A 14,384-nucleotide genomic window follows, 5' to 3' on the forward strand; every position below is an offset into this window, starting at 1 on the left:
GAGTCTAAACATTCTTTGTATGTTTACTTTTTATTGCATAGGCAGTAAATTTTTATATCTTTGCTTTACTTTTATCAAGCAATATATGAACAGCATTTTCTAAATTAATGGAAATAAAATATTTAAAACAAAAAGTCAAGAACGTTCTAGTGATGCCTTTTCACTATTCCAGAGGCTCACCTCTCATCTGCAGCATAGACTCAGCTTTTTATTTTCATATTTCCATATATCTGAATAACATATACTGTTATCTTTTGATTCCTCAATTTTGGAAAAGAATATTGACTTTCTGTGATGGTAGATAAGTATCTAGATCTTTGATGTCATTCTTTCTACTTTTATTTTCCCATTATACTTCTACAGTTATATTAAATTTTAGTAAAGTCAATATTGAATGCCTATACTATCATGTTTGCTCAAATATTACTCATAGCTGAACACTTTAGTGTGCTGCAATTATGTCTCTTTAATACTTTTTGGTTTAGCTAATACTTGCCTTGTTTTATAATTTAGTCAATATCTTTGCACCCAGTGAAAATTGATGGATGTATTAATTTTTTAGGTCAGCCATAACAATGTTACCTCAAACTAGGTGGCTTAAAATAACAGAAATGTATTGTCTCACAGTTCTGGAGGCCAGAAATTCAAAAGCAAGCATTCCTTCCTCAGGGCCATGCTCCCTCTAAAACCTGTAGGGAGGGCTACAGTAACCAAAACAGCATGGTACTGGTACAAAAACAGACACACAGACCAATGTAACAGGCTAGAGAGCCCAGAAATAAGGCCATACACCTACAACTATCTGATCTTCAAAAAACCTGACAAAAATAAGCAATGGGAAAAAGATTCACCATTCAATAAATGATGCTTGGAAAACTGGCTAGCCATATGCAGAAAATTGAAATTGGACCCCTTCCTTACACCATATACAAAAACTAACTCAAGATGGATTAAAGACTTAAATATAAAACCCCAAACTGTAAAAACCCTGGAAGACAACCTAGGCAATACCATTCAGGACATAGGCATAGGCAAAAATTTTGTGATGAAGATGCCAAAATAAATTGCAGCAAAGGCAAAAACTGACAAATTGTATCTAATTAAACTACAGAGCTTCTGCACTGCAAAGGAAACTATCAACAGAATGAGCAGACAACCTACAGAATGGGAAGAAAAATTGCAAACTAAGGTCAATACCTGGATCTAATATAAGCAACTTAAACAAATTTAAAAGAAAAAGCAAACAACCCCATTAAAAAGTGGACAAAGGACATGAACAGACACTTCTCAAAAGAAGACATATACGTGGCCAACAAGCATATCAAAAAAGCTCAACATCGTTGATTATTAGAGAAATGCAAGCCAAAACCACAATGAGATACTGTCTCATGCCAGTCAGAATGGCTATTATTAAAAAGTCAAAAAATAACAGTTGTTAATGAGCTTGTGGAGAAAAAGGAATGCTTATTCCCTGTTGGTGGGAGTGTAAATTAGTTCAACCATTGGGGAAGACAGTGTGGCGATTCCTAAGACCTAAAGACAGAAATACTGTTTGACCCAGCAATCCCATTAGTGGGTATATACCCAAAGAAACAGAAATAGTTCTATTATAAAAACACATGTACATGTATGTTCATTTCAGCACTATTCACAATAGCAAAGACATGGAATAAACCCAAATACTCCGCAAAATCATGGAATCAACATAACTACTCATTATAAACTGGACAAAGACAATGTGATATATCTATACCATGGAATACTATGCAGCCATAAAAAATGAGATCATATCCTTTGCAGGGACATGGATGGAGCTGGAGGTAATTATCTTTAGCAAACTAACAAGGGAACAGAAAACCAAATATTGCATGTTCTTACTTATAAATGGGAACTAAATGAGGAAAACACATGGACATATAGAGGGGAACACACACTGGGGCATATTGGAGGGTGAAGGGTGGAAGGAGGGAGAGGATCAGGAAAAATAACTAATGTGTACTAGGCTTAATACCTGAGTGATGAAATAATCTGTACAACAAATCTCCATGACACAAGTTTAACCATGCAAAAACCTGCACATCCTGTACATGTACCCCTGAACTTAAAACAAAAGTTTATAAAGAAAAAACAACAACAGGGGAGAATCCTTCCTTGCCTCCTCCTAGCTTCTAGGGGTTTGTGTTCATTCCTTGGCTTGCAGCTGCAGCACTTCAAACTTTACCTCCTTCATCACAGGGCATTCTCCCCCAAATCTGCCACTCCTGTGTCTGTGTCTCTTTTCTTCGTATAATGACACTTGTCATATTGGATTAAGGGCCCACCCTACTTCAGTATGACCTCAACTTAACTACATATGCAACAACTCTATTTCTAAATAAGGTCACATTTTGAGGTGCTGAGGGTTAGGACTTCAGCATATTTTTCTTTGAGAGTGGGGAGGGGACACAATTTAATCCATAACAATAAATGTTCATTTTTTTTCCCTCTTGGAAACTTTTCCTTTGGGAATCTCAATTCTCCTATCTGAATTACTTTCTCTTGGGTATGTTGCACAACTATTATCCTGGGAAATTTTTCTGCTGTTATCTTGGGAAATTCTCTGTGTCCTTCTCCTGAATTGGATTATAGGGGTCTCATAATTTTTTCCAGTGGCTTAATCATGTCTGTCTCATGATTCACATTTTCTCTAATTAAACAGCGACAGCAGCAGCAGCAGCAGCAAAATAAAGAGCTCACTAGCACAACTGGCATAAGTGAAGAGGAAATTAATTAGCAGTTATGTCAACAGGAAAAATTCTTTCCAAGTGCCAACAATGAGAAAAGTAAATAGAAAACATGGAAGGAAAGTCAAGAGCCTGAGAGATAATTCTAGAAATGACAATATCCAGCAAATAGAACTTTCAGAAAGACAAAACAGGAAATGAACATAAGGTAAACCTCAAGGAAACAATCGAGGGAAAGTGTTCAAAACTAAATAATGTCACATCCTCAAACTAGAAGAATCCTCCTAAGTTATAAGTAACATTAAAAAGATCAGTACAGTCTCTGGAGAAATATCAGAACATATAAGGTGTGATGAGACTATCTTAAATGCTTCCAAAGAGAAAATATATGTTGTAAGATATTGCCAAAGTTATCAACAAAACTAGTTTTAAAAATAAAATTATGTACTCACTCTACTATTAAATGTGAGGTCAAAATAAAGACACTTTTGGACATTTAAATTATCAGAAAATTTACCATACTTAATCTAGAAGAATTACGAAATGAAGATAAATGCCAATAAATATTTAAGTATTAAATATTAAAATCAATATTAATATGGTATAAAATAAACAATTATAAATTATTAATATCAATTAAATCAAGTTAAATAGTGATTATAAAAACATAATAATAGTTTTAATGTCACATTTATATAGCATCATTATTGGAGATGGAGAAGCGGAAAAAGGCGGGGAGCATGGAAAGAATGTTAACCCTTGGTCTAGTTCCGAATAGAAAAATCAGACACTCATTGACCCCGTAATGTTAATATTTTTAAGGATAATTAGGGAAATAGAGATTAAAAACACAGCTTCTAAAATATTAGAAAGTAGAGTAATAGAACAAAAAGTTAACATGACTTGCGTAAGAAGACACAAGAATGAGAAAACCCATGAAAAGAAAGCCTGTGGTATAGAAAACAATAAAATGGTAACATGTATTAAAGTATATCACAAATCATGGTATGTGTAAATACCTTAAACTTACCTATTAAAAAGTAGACATGATTATATCAGTAAAAACCAACAAGCTTGCAACAACAACAACAGAGAAACAAATAAAGGCAATTGATGAGGGCCCCAATAAAACAAAATTAGAATAGAATATTGACTATGAAGGGATAAAAAGCATACTAAATGAATGACAAAAATAGAAATATAACAACACGGCAGACTGAGGAGAAGTCAAGGCAAAAAATTAAAGGGAGAAATGAGAGACATAAAAATAAAATTTTAGTACTACCAACAAAGTTATGAGATACATTTGAAGAAACTGTTTACGAAGTATAAGAATTTTTTACAAAATTATAGTACCTGCCAGGTGTGGTGGCTCATGTCTATAATCTCAGCACTTTGGGAGGCCTACGTGGGAGGATCACTTGAGCCCAGGAGTTCAAAACCAGCCTGGGCAACATAATGAGGCCCTGTCTGTACAAAACAAAACAAATAAAACAAAAATAGAAAAGTTTAATATACCTCCTCAGAAATCAAGTGATCAAAATGATGAAAATTAGTGTATGGAGGAAGTGAGTAACACATCAATACATTTGATAGGACAACATATATAGAATTCTCTATTTCCCCCAAAAAAGGCACATCTTTCTCAGAAGCACATGGAATATTGATAAAGAGTGACATATTGTATCATAAAGTTAATATGAATAAATAGCAAAGTAATTTGAATAGTATAGACCAGATAACATTATCATTTAACTTTTAATATTTTAGATCTATTGCTCTAGTGAAGTCACAAAAATTAAATTACTAGTTCAAACTAGAAATATACATTATCATGTATTAAAAACATTTAAATTATATTTCTGCAAGCAGCATTTAATATACTAATGTCACAATAACATTTAAAAATTTATGAAGGAGGAGCCAAGATGGCCGAATAGGAACAGCTCCGGTCTACAGCTCCCAGCGTGAGCGACGCAGAAGACGGTGATTTCTGCATTTCCATCTGAGGTACCGGGTTCATCTCACTAGGGAGTGCCAGACAGTGGGCGCAGGTCAGTGGGTGTGCGCACCCTGCGCGACCCGAAGCAGGGCGAGGCATTGCCTCACTTGGGAAGCACAAGGGGTCAGGGAGTTCCCTTTCCGAGTCAAAGAAAGGGGTGACGGACGGCACTTGGAAAATCGGGTCACTCCCACCCGAATACTGCGCTTTTCCGACGGGCTTAAAAAACCGCGCACCACGAGATTGTATCCCTCACCTGGCTCGGAGGGTCCCACGCCCACGGAGTCTCGCTGATTGCTAGCACAGCAGTCTGAGATCAAACTGCAAGGCGGCAGCCAGGCTGGGGTAGGGGCGCCCGCCATTGCCCAGGCTTGATTAGGTAAACAAAGCAGCTGGGAAGCTCGAACTGGGCGGAGCCCACCACAGCTCAAGGAGGCCTGCCTGCCTCTGTAGGCTCCACCTCTGGGGGCAGGGCACAGACAAACAAAAAGCAGTAACCTCTGCAGACTTAAAGGTCCCTGTCTGACAGCTTTGAAGAGAGCAGTGGTTCTCCCAGCACGCAGCTGGAGATCTGAGAACGGGCAGACTGCCTCCTCAAGTGGGTCCCTGACCCCTGACCCCCGAGCAGCCTAACTGGGAGGCACCCCCGAGCAGGGGCACACTGACACCTCACACGGCAGGGTATTCCAACAGACCTGCAGCTGAGGGTCCTGTCTGTTAGAAGGAAAACTAACAAACAGAAAGGACATCCACACCAAAAACCCATCTGTACATCACCATCATCAAAGACCAAAAGTAGATAAAACCACAAAGATGGGGAAAAAACAGAACAGAAAAACTGGAAACTCTAGAAAGCAGAGCTCCTCTCCTCCTCCAAAGGAACGCAGTTCCTCACCAGCAATGGAACAAAGCTGGATAGAGAATGACTTTGACGAGCTGAGAGAAGAAGGCTTCAGACGATCAAATTACTCTGAGCTACGGGAGGACATTCAAACCAAAGGCAAAGAAGTTGAAAACTTTGAAAAAAATTTAGAAGAATGTATAACTAGAATAACCAATACAGAGAAGTGCTTAAAGGAGCTGATGGAGCTGAAAACCAAGGCTCGAGAACTATGTGAAGAATGCAGAAGCCTCAGGAGCCGATGCGATCAACTGGAAGATAGGGTATCAGCGATGGAAGATGAAATGAATGAAGTGAAGTGAGAAGGGAAGTTTAGAGAAAAAAGAATAAAAAGAAATGAGCAAAGCCTCCAAGAAATATGGGACTATGTGAAAAGACCAAATCTACGTCTGATTGGTGTACCTGAAAGTGATGGGGAGAATGGAACCAAGTTGGAAAACACTCTGCAGGATATTATCCAGGAGAACTTCCCCAATCTAGCAAGGCAGGCCAACGTTCAGATTCAGGAAATACAGAGAACACCACAAAGATACTCCTCGAAAAGAGCAACTCCAAGACACATAATTGTCAGATTCACCAAAGTTGAAATGAAGGAAAAAATGTTAAGGGCAGCCAGAGAGAAAGGTCGGGTTACCCTCAAAGGGAAGCCCATCAGACTAACAGCGGATCTCTCGGCAGAAACCCTACAAGCCAGAAGAGAGTGGGGGCCAATATTCAACATTCTTAAAGAAAAGAATTTTCAACCCAGAATTTCATATCCAGCCAAACTAAGCTTCATAAGTGAAGGAGAAATAAAATACTTTACAGACAAGCAAATGCTGAGAGATTTTGTCACCACCAGGCCTGCCCTAAAAGAGCTCCTGAAGGAAGCGCTAAACATGGAAAGGAACAATCAGTACCAGCCGCTGCAAAATCATGCCAAAATGTAAAGACCATCAAGAATAGGAAGAAACTGGATCAACTAAAGAGCAAAATAACCAGCTAACATCATAATGACAGGATCAAATTCACACATAACAATATGAACTTTAAATGTAAATGGACTAAATGCTCCAATTAAAAGACACAGACTGGCAAATTGGATAAAGAGTCAAGACCCATCAGTGTGCTGTATTCAGGAAACCCATCTCACATGCAGAGACACACATAGGCTCAAAATAAAAGGATGGAGGAAGATCTACCAAGCAAATGGAAAACAAAAAAAAGGCAGGGGTTGCAATCCTAGTCTCTGATAAAACAGACTTTAAACCAACGAAGATCAAAAGAGACAAAGAAGGCCATTACATAATGGTAAAGGGATCAATTCAACAAGAAGAGCTAACTATCCTAAATATATATGCACCCAATACAGGAGCACCCAGATTCATAAAGCAAGTCCTGAGTGACCTACAAAGAGACTTAGACTCACACACATTAATAATGGGAGACTTTAACACCCCACTGTCAACATTAGACAGATCAACGAGACAGAAAGTCAACAAGGATACCCAGGAATTGAACTCAGCTCTGCACCAAGCGGACCTAATAGACATCTACAGAACTCTCCACCCCAAATCAACAGAATATACATTTTTTTCAGCACCACACCACACCTATTCCAAAATTGACCACATACTTGGAAGTAAAGCTCTCCTCAGGAAATGTAAAAGAACAGAAATTATAACAAACTGTCTCTCAGACCACAGTGCAATCAAACTAGAACTCAGGATTAAGAATCTCACTCAAAACCGCTCAACAACATGGAAACTGAACAACCTGCTCCTGAATGACTACTGGGTACATAACGAAATGAAGGCAGAAATAAAGATGTTCTTTGAAACCAACGAGAACAAAGACACAACATACCAGAATCTCTGGGACGCATTCAAAGCAGTGTATAGAGGGAAATTTATAGAACTAAATGCCCACAAGAGAAAGCAGGAAAGATCCAAAATTGACACCCTAACATCACAATTAAAAGAACTAGAAAAGCAAGAGCAAACACATTCAAAAGCTAGCAGAAGGCAAGAAATAACTAAAATCAGAGCAGAACTCAAGGAAATAGAGACACAAAAAACCCTTCAAAAAATTAATGAATCCAGGACCTGGTTTTTTGAAAGGATCAACAAAATTGATAGACCGCTAGCAAGACTAATAAAGAAAAAAAGAGAGAAGAATCTAATAGACACAATAAAAAATGATAAAGGGGATATCACCACCGATCCCACAGAAATACAAACTACCATCAGAGAATACTACAAACACCTCTACACAACTAGAAAATCAAGAAGAAATGGATAAATTCCTGGACACATACACTCTCCCAAGACTAAACCAGGAAGAAGTTGAATCTCTGAATAGACCAATAACAGGATCTGAAATTGTGGCAATAATCAATAGCTTAGCAACCAAAAAGAGTCCAGGACCGGATGGATTCACAGCTGAATTCTACCAGAGGTACAAGGAGGAACTGCTACCATTCCTTCTGAAACTATTCCAATCAATAGAAAAAGAGGGAATCCTCCCTAACTCATTTTATGAGGCCAGCATCATTCTGATACCAAAGCCTGGCAGAGACACAACAAAAAAAGAGAATTTTAGGCCAATATCCTTGATGAACATTGATGCAAAAATCCTCAATAAAATACTGGCAAACCGAATCCAGCAGCACATCAAAAAAGCTTATCCACCATGATCAAGTGGGCTTCATCCCTGGGATGCTAGGCTGGTTCAATATATGCAAATCAATAAATGTAATCCAGCATATAAACAGAGCCAAAGACAAAAACCACATGAATATCTCAATAGATGCAGAAAAAGCCTTTGACAAAATTCAACAACGCTTCATGCTAAGAACTCTCAATAAATTAGGTATTGATGGGACATATTTCAAAATAATAAGAGCTATCTATGACAAACCCACAGCCAATATCATACTGAATGGGCAAAAACTGGAAGCATTCCCTTTGAAAACTGGCACAAGACAGGGATGCCCTCTCTCACCATTCCTATTCAACATAGTGTTGGAAGTTCTGGCCAGGGCAATTAGGCAGGAGAAGGAAATAAAGGGTATTCAATTAGGAAAAGAGGAAGTCAAATTGTCCCTGTTTGCAGACAACATGATTGTATATCTAGAAAACCCCATTGTCTCAGCCCAAAATCTCCTTAAGCTGATAAGCAACTTCAGCAAAGTCTCAGGATACAAAATCAATGTACAAAAATCACAAGCATTCTTATACACCAGCAACAGACAAACAGAGAGCCAAATCATGAGTGAACTCCCATTCACAATTGCTTCAAAGAGAATAAAATACCTAGGAATCCAACTTACAAGGGATGTGAAGGACCTCTTCAAGGAGAACTACAAGCCACTGCTCAAGGAAATAAAAGAGGATACAAACAAATGGAAGAACATTCCATGCTCAAGGGTAGGAAGAATCAATATCGTGAAAATGGCCATACTGCCCAAGGTAATTTACAGATTCAATGCCATCCCCATCAAGCTACCAATGCCTTTCTTCACAGAATTGGAAAAAACTACTTTAAAGTTCATATGGAACCAAAAAAGAGCCCGCATCACCAAGTAAATCCTATGCCAAAAGAACAAAGCTGGAGGCATCACACTACCTGACTTCAAACTATACTACAAGGCTACAGTAACCAAAACAGCATGGTACTGGTACCAAAACAGAGATATAGATCAATGGAACAGAACAGAGCCCTCAGAAATAACGCCGCATATCTACAACTATCTGATCTTTGACAAACCTGAGAAAAACAAGCAATGGGGAAAGGATTCCCTATTTAATAAATAGTGCAGGGAAAACCGGCTAGCCATATGTAGAAAGCCGAAACTGGATCCCTTTCTTACACCTTATACAAAAATCAATTCAAGATGGATTAAAGACTTAAACGTTAGACCTAAAACCATAAAAACCCTAGAAGAAAACCTAGGCATTACCATTCAGGACATAGGCATGGGCAAGGACTTCATGTCTAAAACACCAAAAGCAATGGCAACAAAAGACAAAATTGACAAATGGGATCTAATTAAACTAAAGAGCTTCTGCACAGCAAAAGAAACTACCATGAGAGTGAATAGGCAACCTACAAAATGGGAGAAAATTTTCGCAACCTACTCATCTGACAAAGGGCTAATGTCCAGAATCTACAATGAACTCAAACAAATTTACAAGAAAAAAACAAACAACCCCATCAACAAGTGGGAGAAGGACATGAACAGACACTTCTCAAAAGAAGACATTTATGCAGCCAAAAAACACATGAAAAAATGCTCATCTTCACTGGCCATCAGAGAAATGCAAATCAAAACCACAATGAGATACCATCTCACACCAGTTAGAATGGCAATCATTAAAAAGTCAGGAAACAACAGGTGCTGGAGAGGATGTGGAGAAATAGGAACACTTTTACCCTGTTGGTGGGACTGTAAATTAGTTCAACCATTGTGGAAGTCAGTGTGGCGATTCCTCAGGGATCTAGAACTGGAAATACCATTTGACCCAGCCATCCCATTACTGGGTATATACCCAAAGGACTATAAATCATGCTGCTATAAAGACACATGCACACGTATGTTTATTGTGGCATTATTCACAATAGCAAAGACTTGGAACCAACCCAAATGTTCAACAATGATAGACTGGATTAAGAAAATGTGGCACATATACACCATGGGATACTATGCAGCCATAAAAAATGATGAGTTCATGTCCTTTGTAGGGACATGGATGAAATTGGAAATCATCATTCTCAGTAAACTATCGCAAGAACAAAAAACCAAACACCGCATATTCTCACTCATAGGTGGGAATTGAACAATGAGATCACATGGACACAGGAAGGGGAATATCACACTCTGGGGACTGTTGTGGGGTGGGGGTCGGGGGAGGGATAGCATTGGGAGATATACCTAATGCTAGATGACGAGTTAGTGGGTGCAGTGCACCAGCATGGCACATGTATAGATATGTAACTAACCTGCAAAATGTGCACATGTGCCCTAAAACTTAATGTATAATTAAAAAAAAAGAAAAAAAAAATTATTACTATTATTTTTGTGTTTGTTATGTAATAGACAATATTGTTCTACTTTTATTTTAATTACATGTTACATGGCCAGTACAATTTACCATATACCAAATTTTTTATTTCTTATTTTGTGAATTGGTTATATTTCACAAAATGCTTTTATAATAATTTGTATAAATGTTATTTTAACTTACTATCAAATTATCTTTATTTTCACACTACATTTTAATTTTTACTGTCAAATTTACCATTTTTTATCTTTATTACATGTTTTATCCCTTTTGAACTTACAGCTTTCTCCTTCCTGTATAGTCACTAGTCAATTCAATTTCCCTCAAAATTTTGTGCAGCTTTACTTAGAAAAATATACTACAAAAAATCTTAGATATTAGGTAAATATCTAAGTTGATATTTTTGAAAAAACTAAAGAGTTAATACAAATACATTAATTATAACATTTGGCAATTTAGAATGGATCATTTCTCCAAAGAAGACATAAGAACAGCCAAGAGTTATATGAAAAGATCTTTAACATCACTAATCCTCAGGCAAAGGTAAATCAAAATCACAATGAAATATCAACATACCTGTTAGGAAGGCTATTGGCATAAAAATAAAATATAATAAATTTTGGCAAGGATATGGAGAAAATGGAACACTTGGTAGGAATGTAAGTTGGCACAGCTGATATGAAAAACATGGAGTTTCTTCAAAAAATGAAAGGAGAAACTACTGTGTGATCTAGTAATTCCACTTCTGGGTACATATAAAAAAAAATGAGATATGTCTGCAACCTCATATTCATCGTAGTTTTATTTATAATAGTCAAGATTTGGAAAAAAACCTAAATGTCCATCAACTGATGAGAGGATAAAGAAAATGTGGAATAAACACACAATAAATATTATTCAACTATAAAAAGGAAGAAAACCCTGCCATATGGGTAAATATGGAAGGCATTATGCTAAGTGAAACAAGTCAGTCATAGAAGGAAAATACTTTATGAATCCAGTTATACGTTGTGTTTTAGTCTGTCTTGTGATATAACAAAATACCTGAGCTTGGTAATTCTTAATGAACACAAGTTTATTGGTCCACTGTTCTAGAGCCTAGGAAGTCCAAGAGCATGGCGCTGGCATCTTGTGAGGACTTTCTTGCTGTGTCATCCCATGGCTGAAGGACAAAGAAAGGGTGAGGTGAGAGAGAGACAAGAGAGGGCCAAATATTCTTTTATAAGAAACCCACTCCCACAATAATAGCATTAATTTATTCATGAGAGTTGAGCCTTCATGACCTAATCACCTCTTAACAGGTTCCACCTTTTGACACTGTTGCATTGGGAATTAAGTTTCCAATGAGTTTTGGGGGAAACATTCAACCACAGCATGAGGTAAATAAGCAATAAGCAAACTCATGGAGACAGAGAGTAGAGTGATGGTTGTCAGAGAGTGAGTGTAGGGTAAAACAAATGGTTCCTGTTTAACAAGCGTGATTTCTTAGTTATGTAAGGTGAGTAGGTTGTAGAGGTCTGCTGTAGAACATTGTGCCTATAGTCAACTGTTAAAAAAAAATAAAAAAGAGTATTCCAAACTTAATATATTCAAAAGTGAGCCCATGATATTTCTTCTAATATTATTCTCTTTCAGTATTCCCTATTTCAGAATATGTTTTCATCACCCATTCAGTTATTAAAGCCTCAAATACACAAGTCTGTCCTAGCACCTTCCATTACCACAGCGTTGCAAAGTTGGGTAAACTTCACCTGATAAATATATCTTGAATTAATCCTTTCTCTCAATTTATATTTATCTTTCTGTTATTTTCTGTATGGCCTCTTTAAATTACTCTTTAAAGAGTCAATCTGAATTTTATCCATTTTAATCTCTACCCTGTGGCCAGAGTGATTATTTCAAAATTTGTCTGATTGTCTCACTTCCCTGCACAAAAATGTTCAATAATTCACTGTGACTTGTAGATAAATTTAAGTCCTTAAAATGCTTTATGAATAAAATGACTGTACACACTACATTGCCAAGGCAGTTTCAGTTTATATCTGTTATCTTAGTGGCATAATTTTCAGTAGCAGCCCTTTCATTCATAAGGGTACAAAATTTGATGATAAATTTTATGCTTACCCTAACTGTAAGGCCCTTTATTATCTACCTTCTCCCTTCCTCTTAAGCTTCATTCTGAATCTTGATCTTTCTCACTCTCATAGCTCCAGCTTTTTGCTCATTCCTTGGTCTATGCCACACTACGTCTCCACTCAACGTATTTGCATAAACTCTTTCATATGCCAGAGGCTACCTCTCCTTATTCTTCAGATGACAAATTGAGTGCTACATTCCCTAATTAAGAACTATCTGATCATCTAAAATGTTCAAATCCCTCTATTATATCATGCACCTATCCGTTGTTATACTTATTACAAGAGTAATTTTAAATTATTTGTTTGATTATTTTGTTAAATTTGCTTTGTCTACTAGAAACTTACTAGTGCATAAGCACCATGGCATTGCTAAATAAATAAATTGGTTAATTTTAACTCTTGATGTAAAATGATGAGAAAAAATAAAATTTCCCCCTTGTGCACAGCTCGGTTTCCATGGTCCATCATTATAATCACTTCTTTGCACAATAATAACTTCCTTGCCCTTTTCTTCCTTTATCATATGCATATGGCAAAATTTCAACCTTGGAAGAAACCGAATACTAATTACCAGGAGGTATTTAGTGCCATGAGATAATGTTACTGTCTTACTTTCCTATTTTATAAGAAAACCATTTCATGTCATATGCTCTCTACATAAGCTGTTTATACATTCTTCCTATTTTATCCTCAGCTGACCATTTTTCTTCCTATTTCACTGAGAAGGGAACTTGTATAGTCTCCCCTAATATATTAACACATATCACCCATGTATCTTCTCTCATATCCTTATACTCTGCCATTTCTCCTGACAATATTTCTACTAGTTCCCTCTTACCTACTGAAACGGAATTCTTTATTCTAATTTTGACATTATCATTTATTCCGTCTCCACAATAGCATTTTAATCAGTAATTACGTATTGTTCAGTATTTTTAAGGAAAAAATTATCTCCTAATACCCCATATATTCGCCAACTACTGACCTGTTATTCTCCACCACTGTACAGAAAATACTCCTCCAAAGTCATGCCTGGACATTCTTTCTTACAAACTATTTAAATTAGACATTTTTTCCCCCACTGCTCTATGAAAATACTCTTCATCGGCCAGGCGTGGTGGCTCACGCCTGTAATCTCAGCACACTGGGAGGCTGAGGCGGGCGGATCACGAGGTCAGGAATTCGAGACCATCCTGGCTAACACGGTGAAACACCGTCTCTACTAAAAATACAAAAAAATTAGCTGGGCGTGGTGGCGGGCGCCTGTAGTCCCAGCTACTCGGGAGGCTGAGGCAGGAGAATGGCGTGAACCCAGGAGGTGGAGCTTGCAGTGAGCCGAGATCCTGCCACTGCACTCCAGCCTGGGAGACAGTGAGACTCTGTCTCAAAAAAAAAAAAAAAAAAAAAAAAAAGAAAGAAAAAGAAAAATACTCTTCATCACTAATCATTTCCATATTGGTAAATCCAATGGTGATTTGTATTGTTATCTTGCTTGACCTATCGGAGGATTTAAAAGAAGGGATTGCTCTTTTCTCTTTGATACATGTTCTTCACTTGTATTCTGAGGCTCCATGTTTG

Source organism: Homo sapiens, chromosome 14 (genome assembly GCF_000001405.40).
Source record: "Homo sapiens chromosome 14, GRCh38.p14 Primary Assembly".
NCBI lineage: Eukaryota > Metazoa > Chordata > Mammalia > Primates > Hominidae > Homo > Homo sapiens.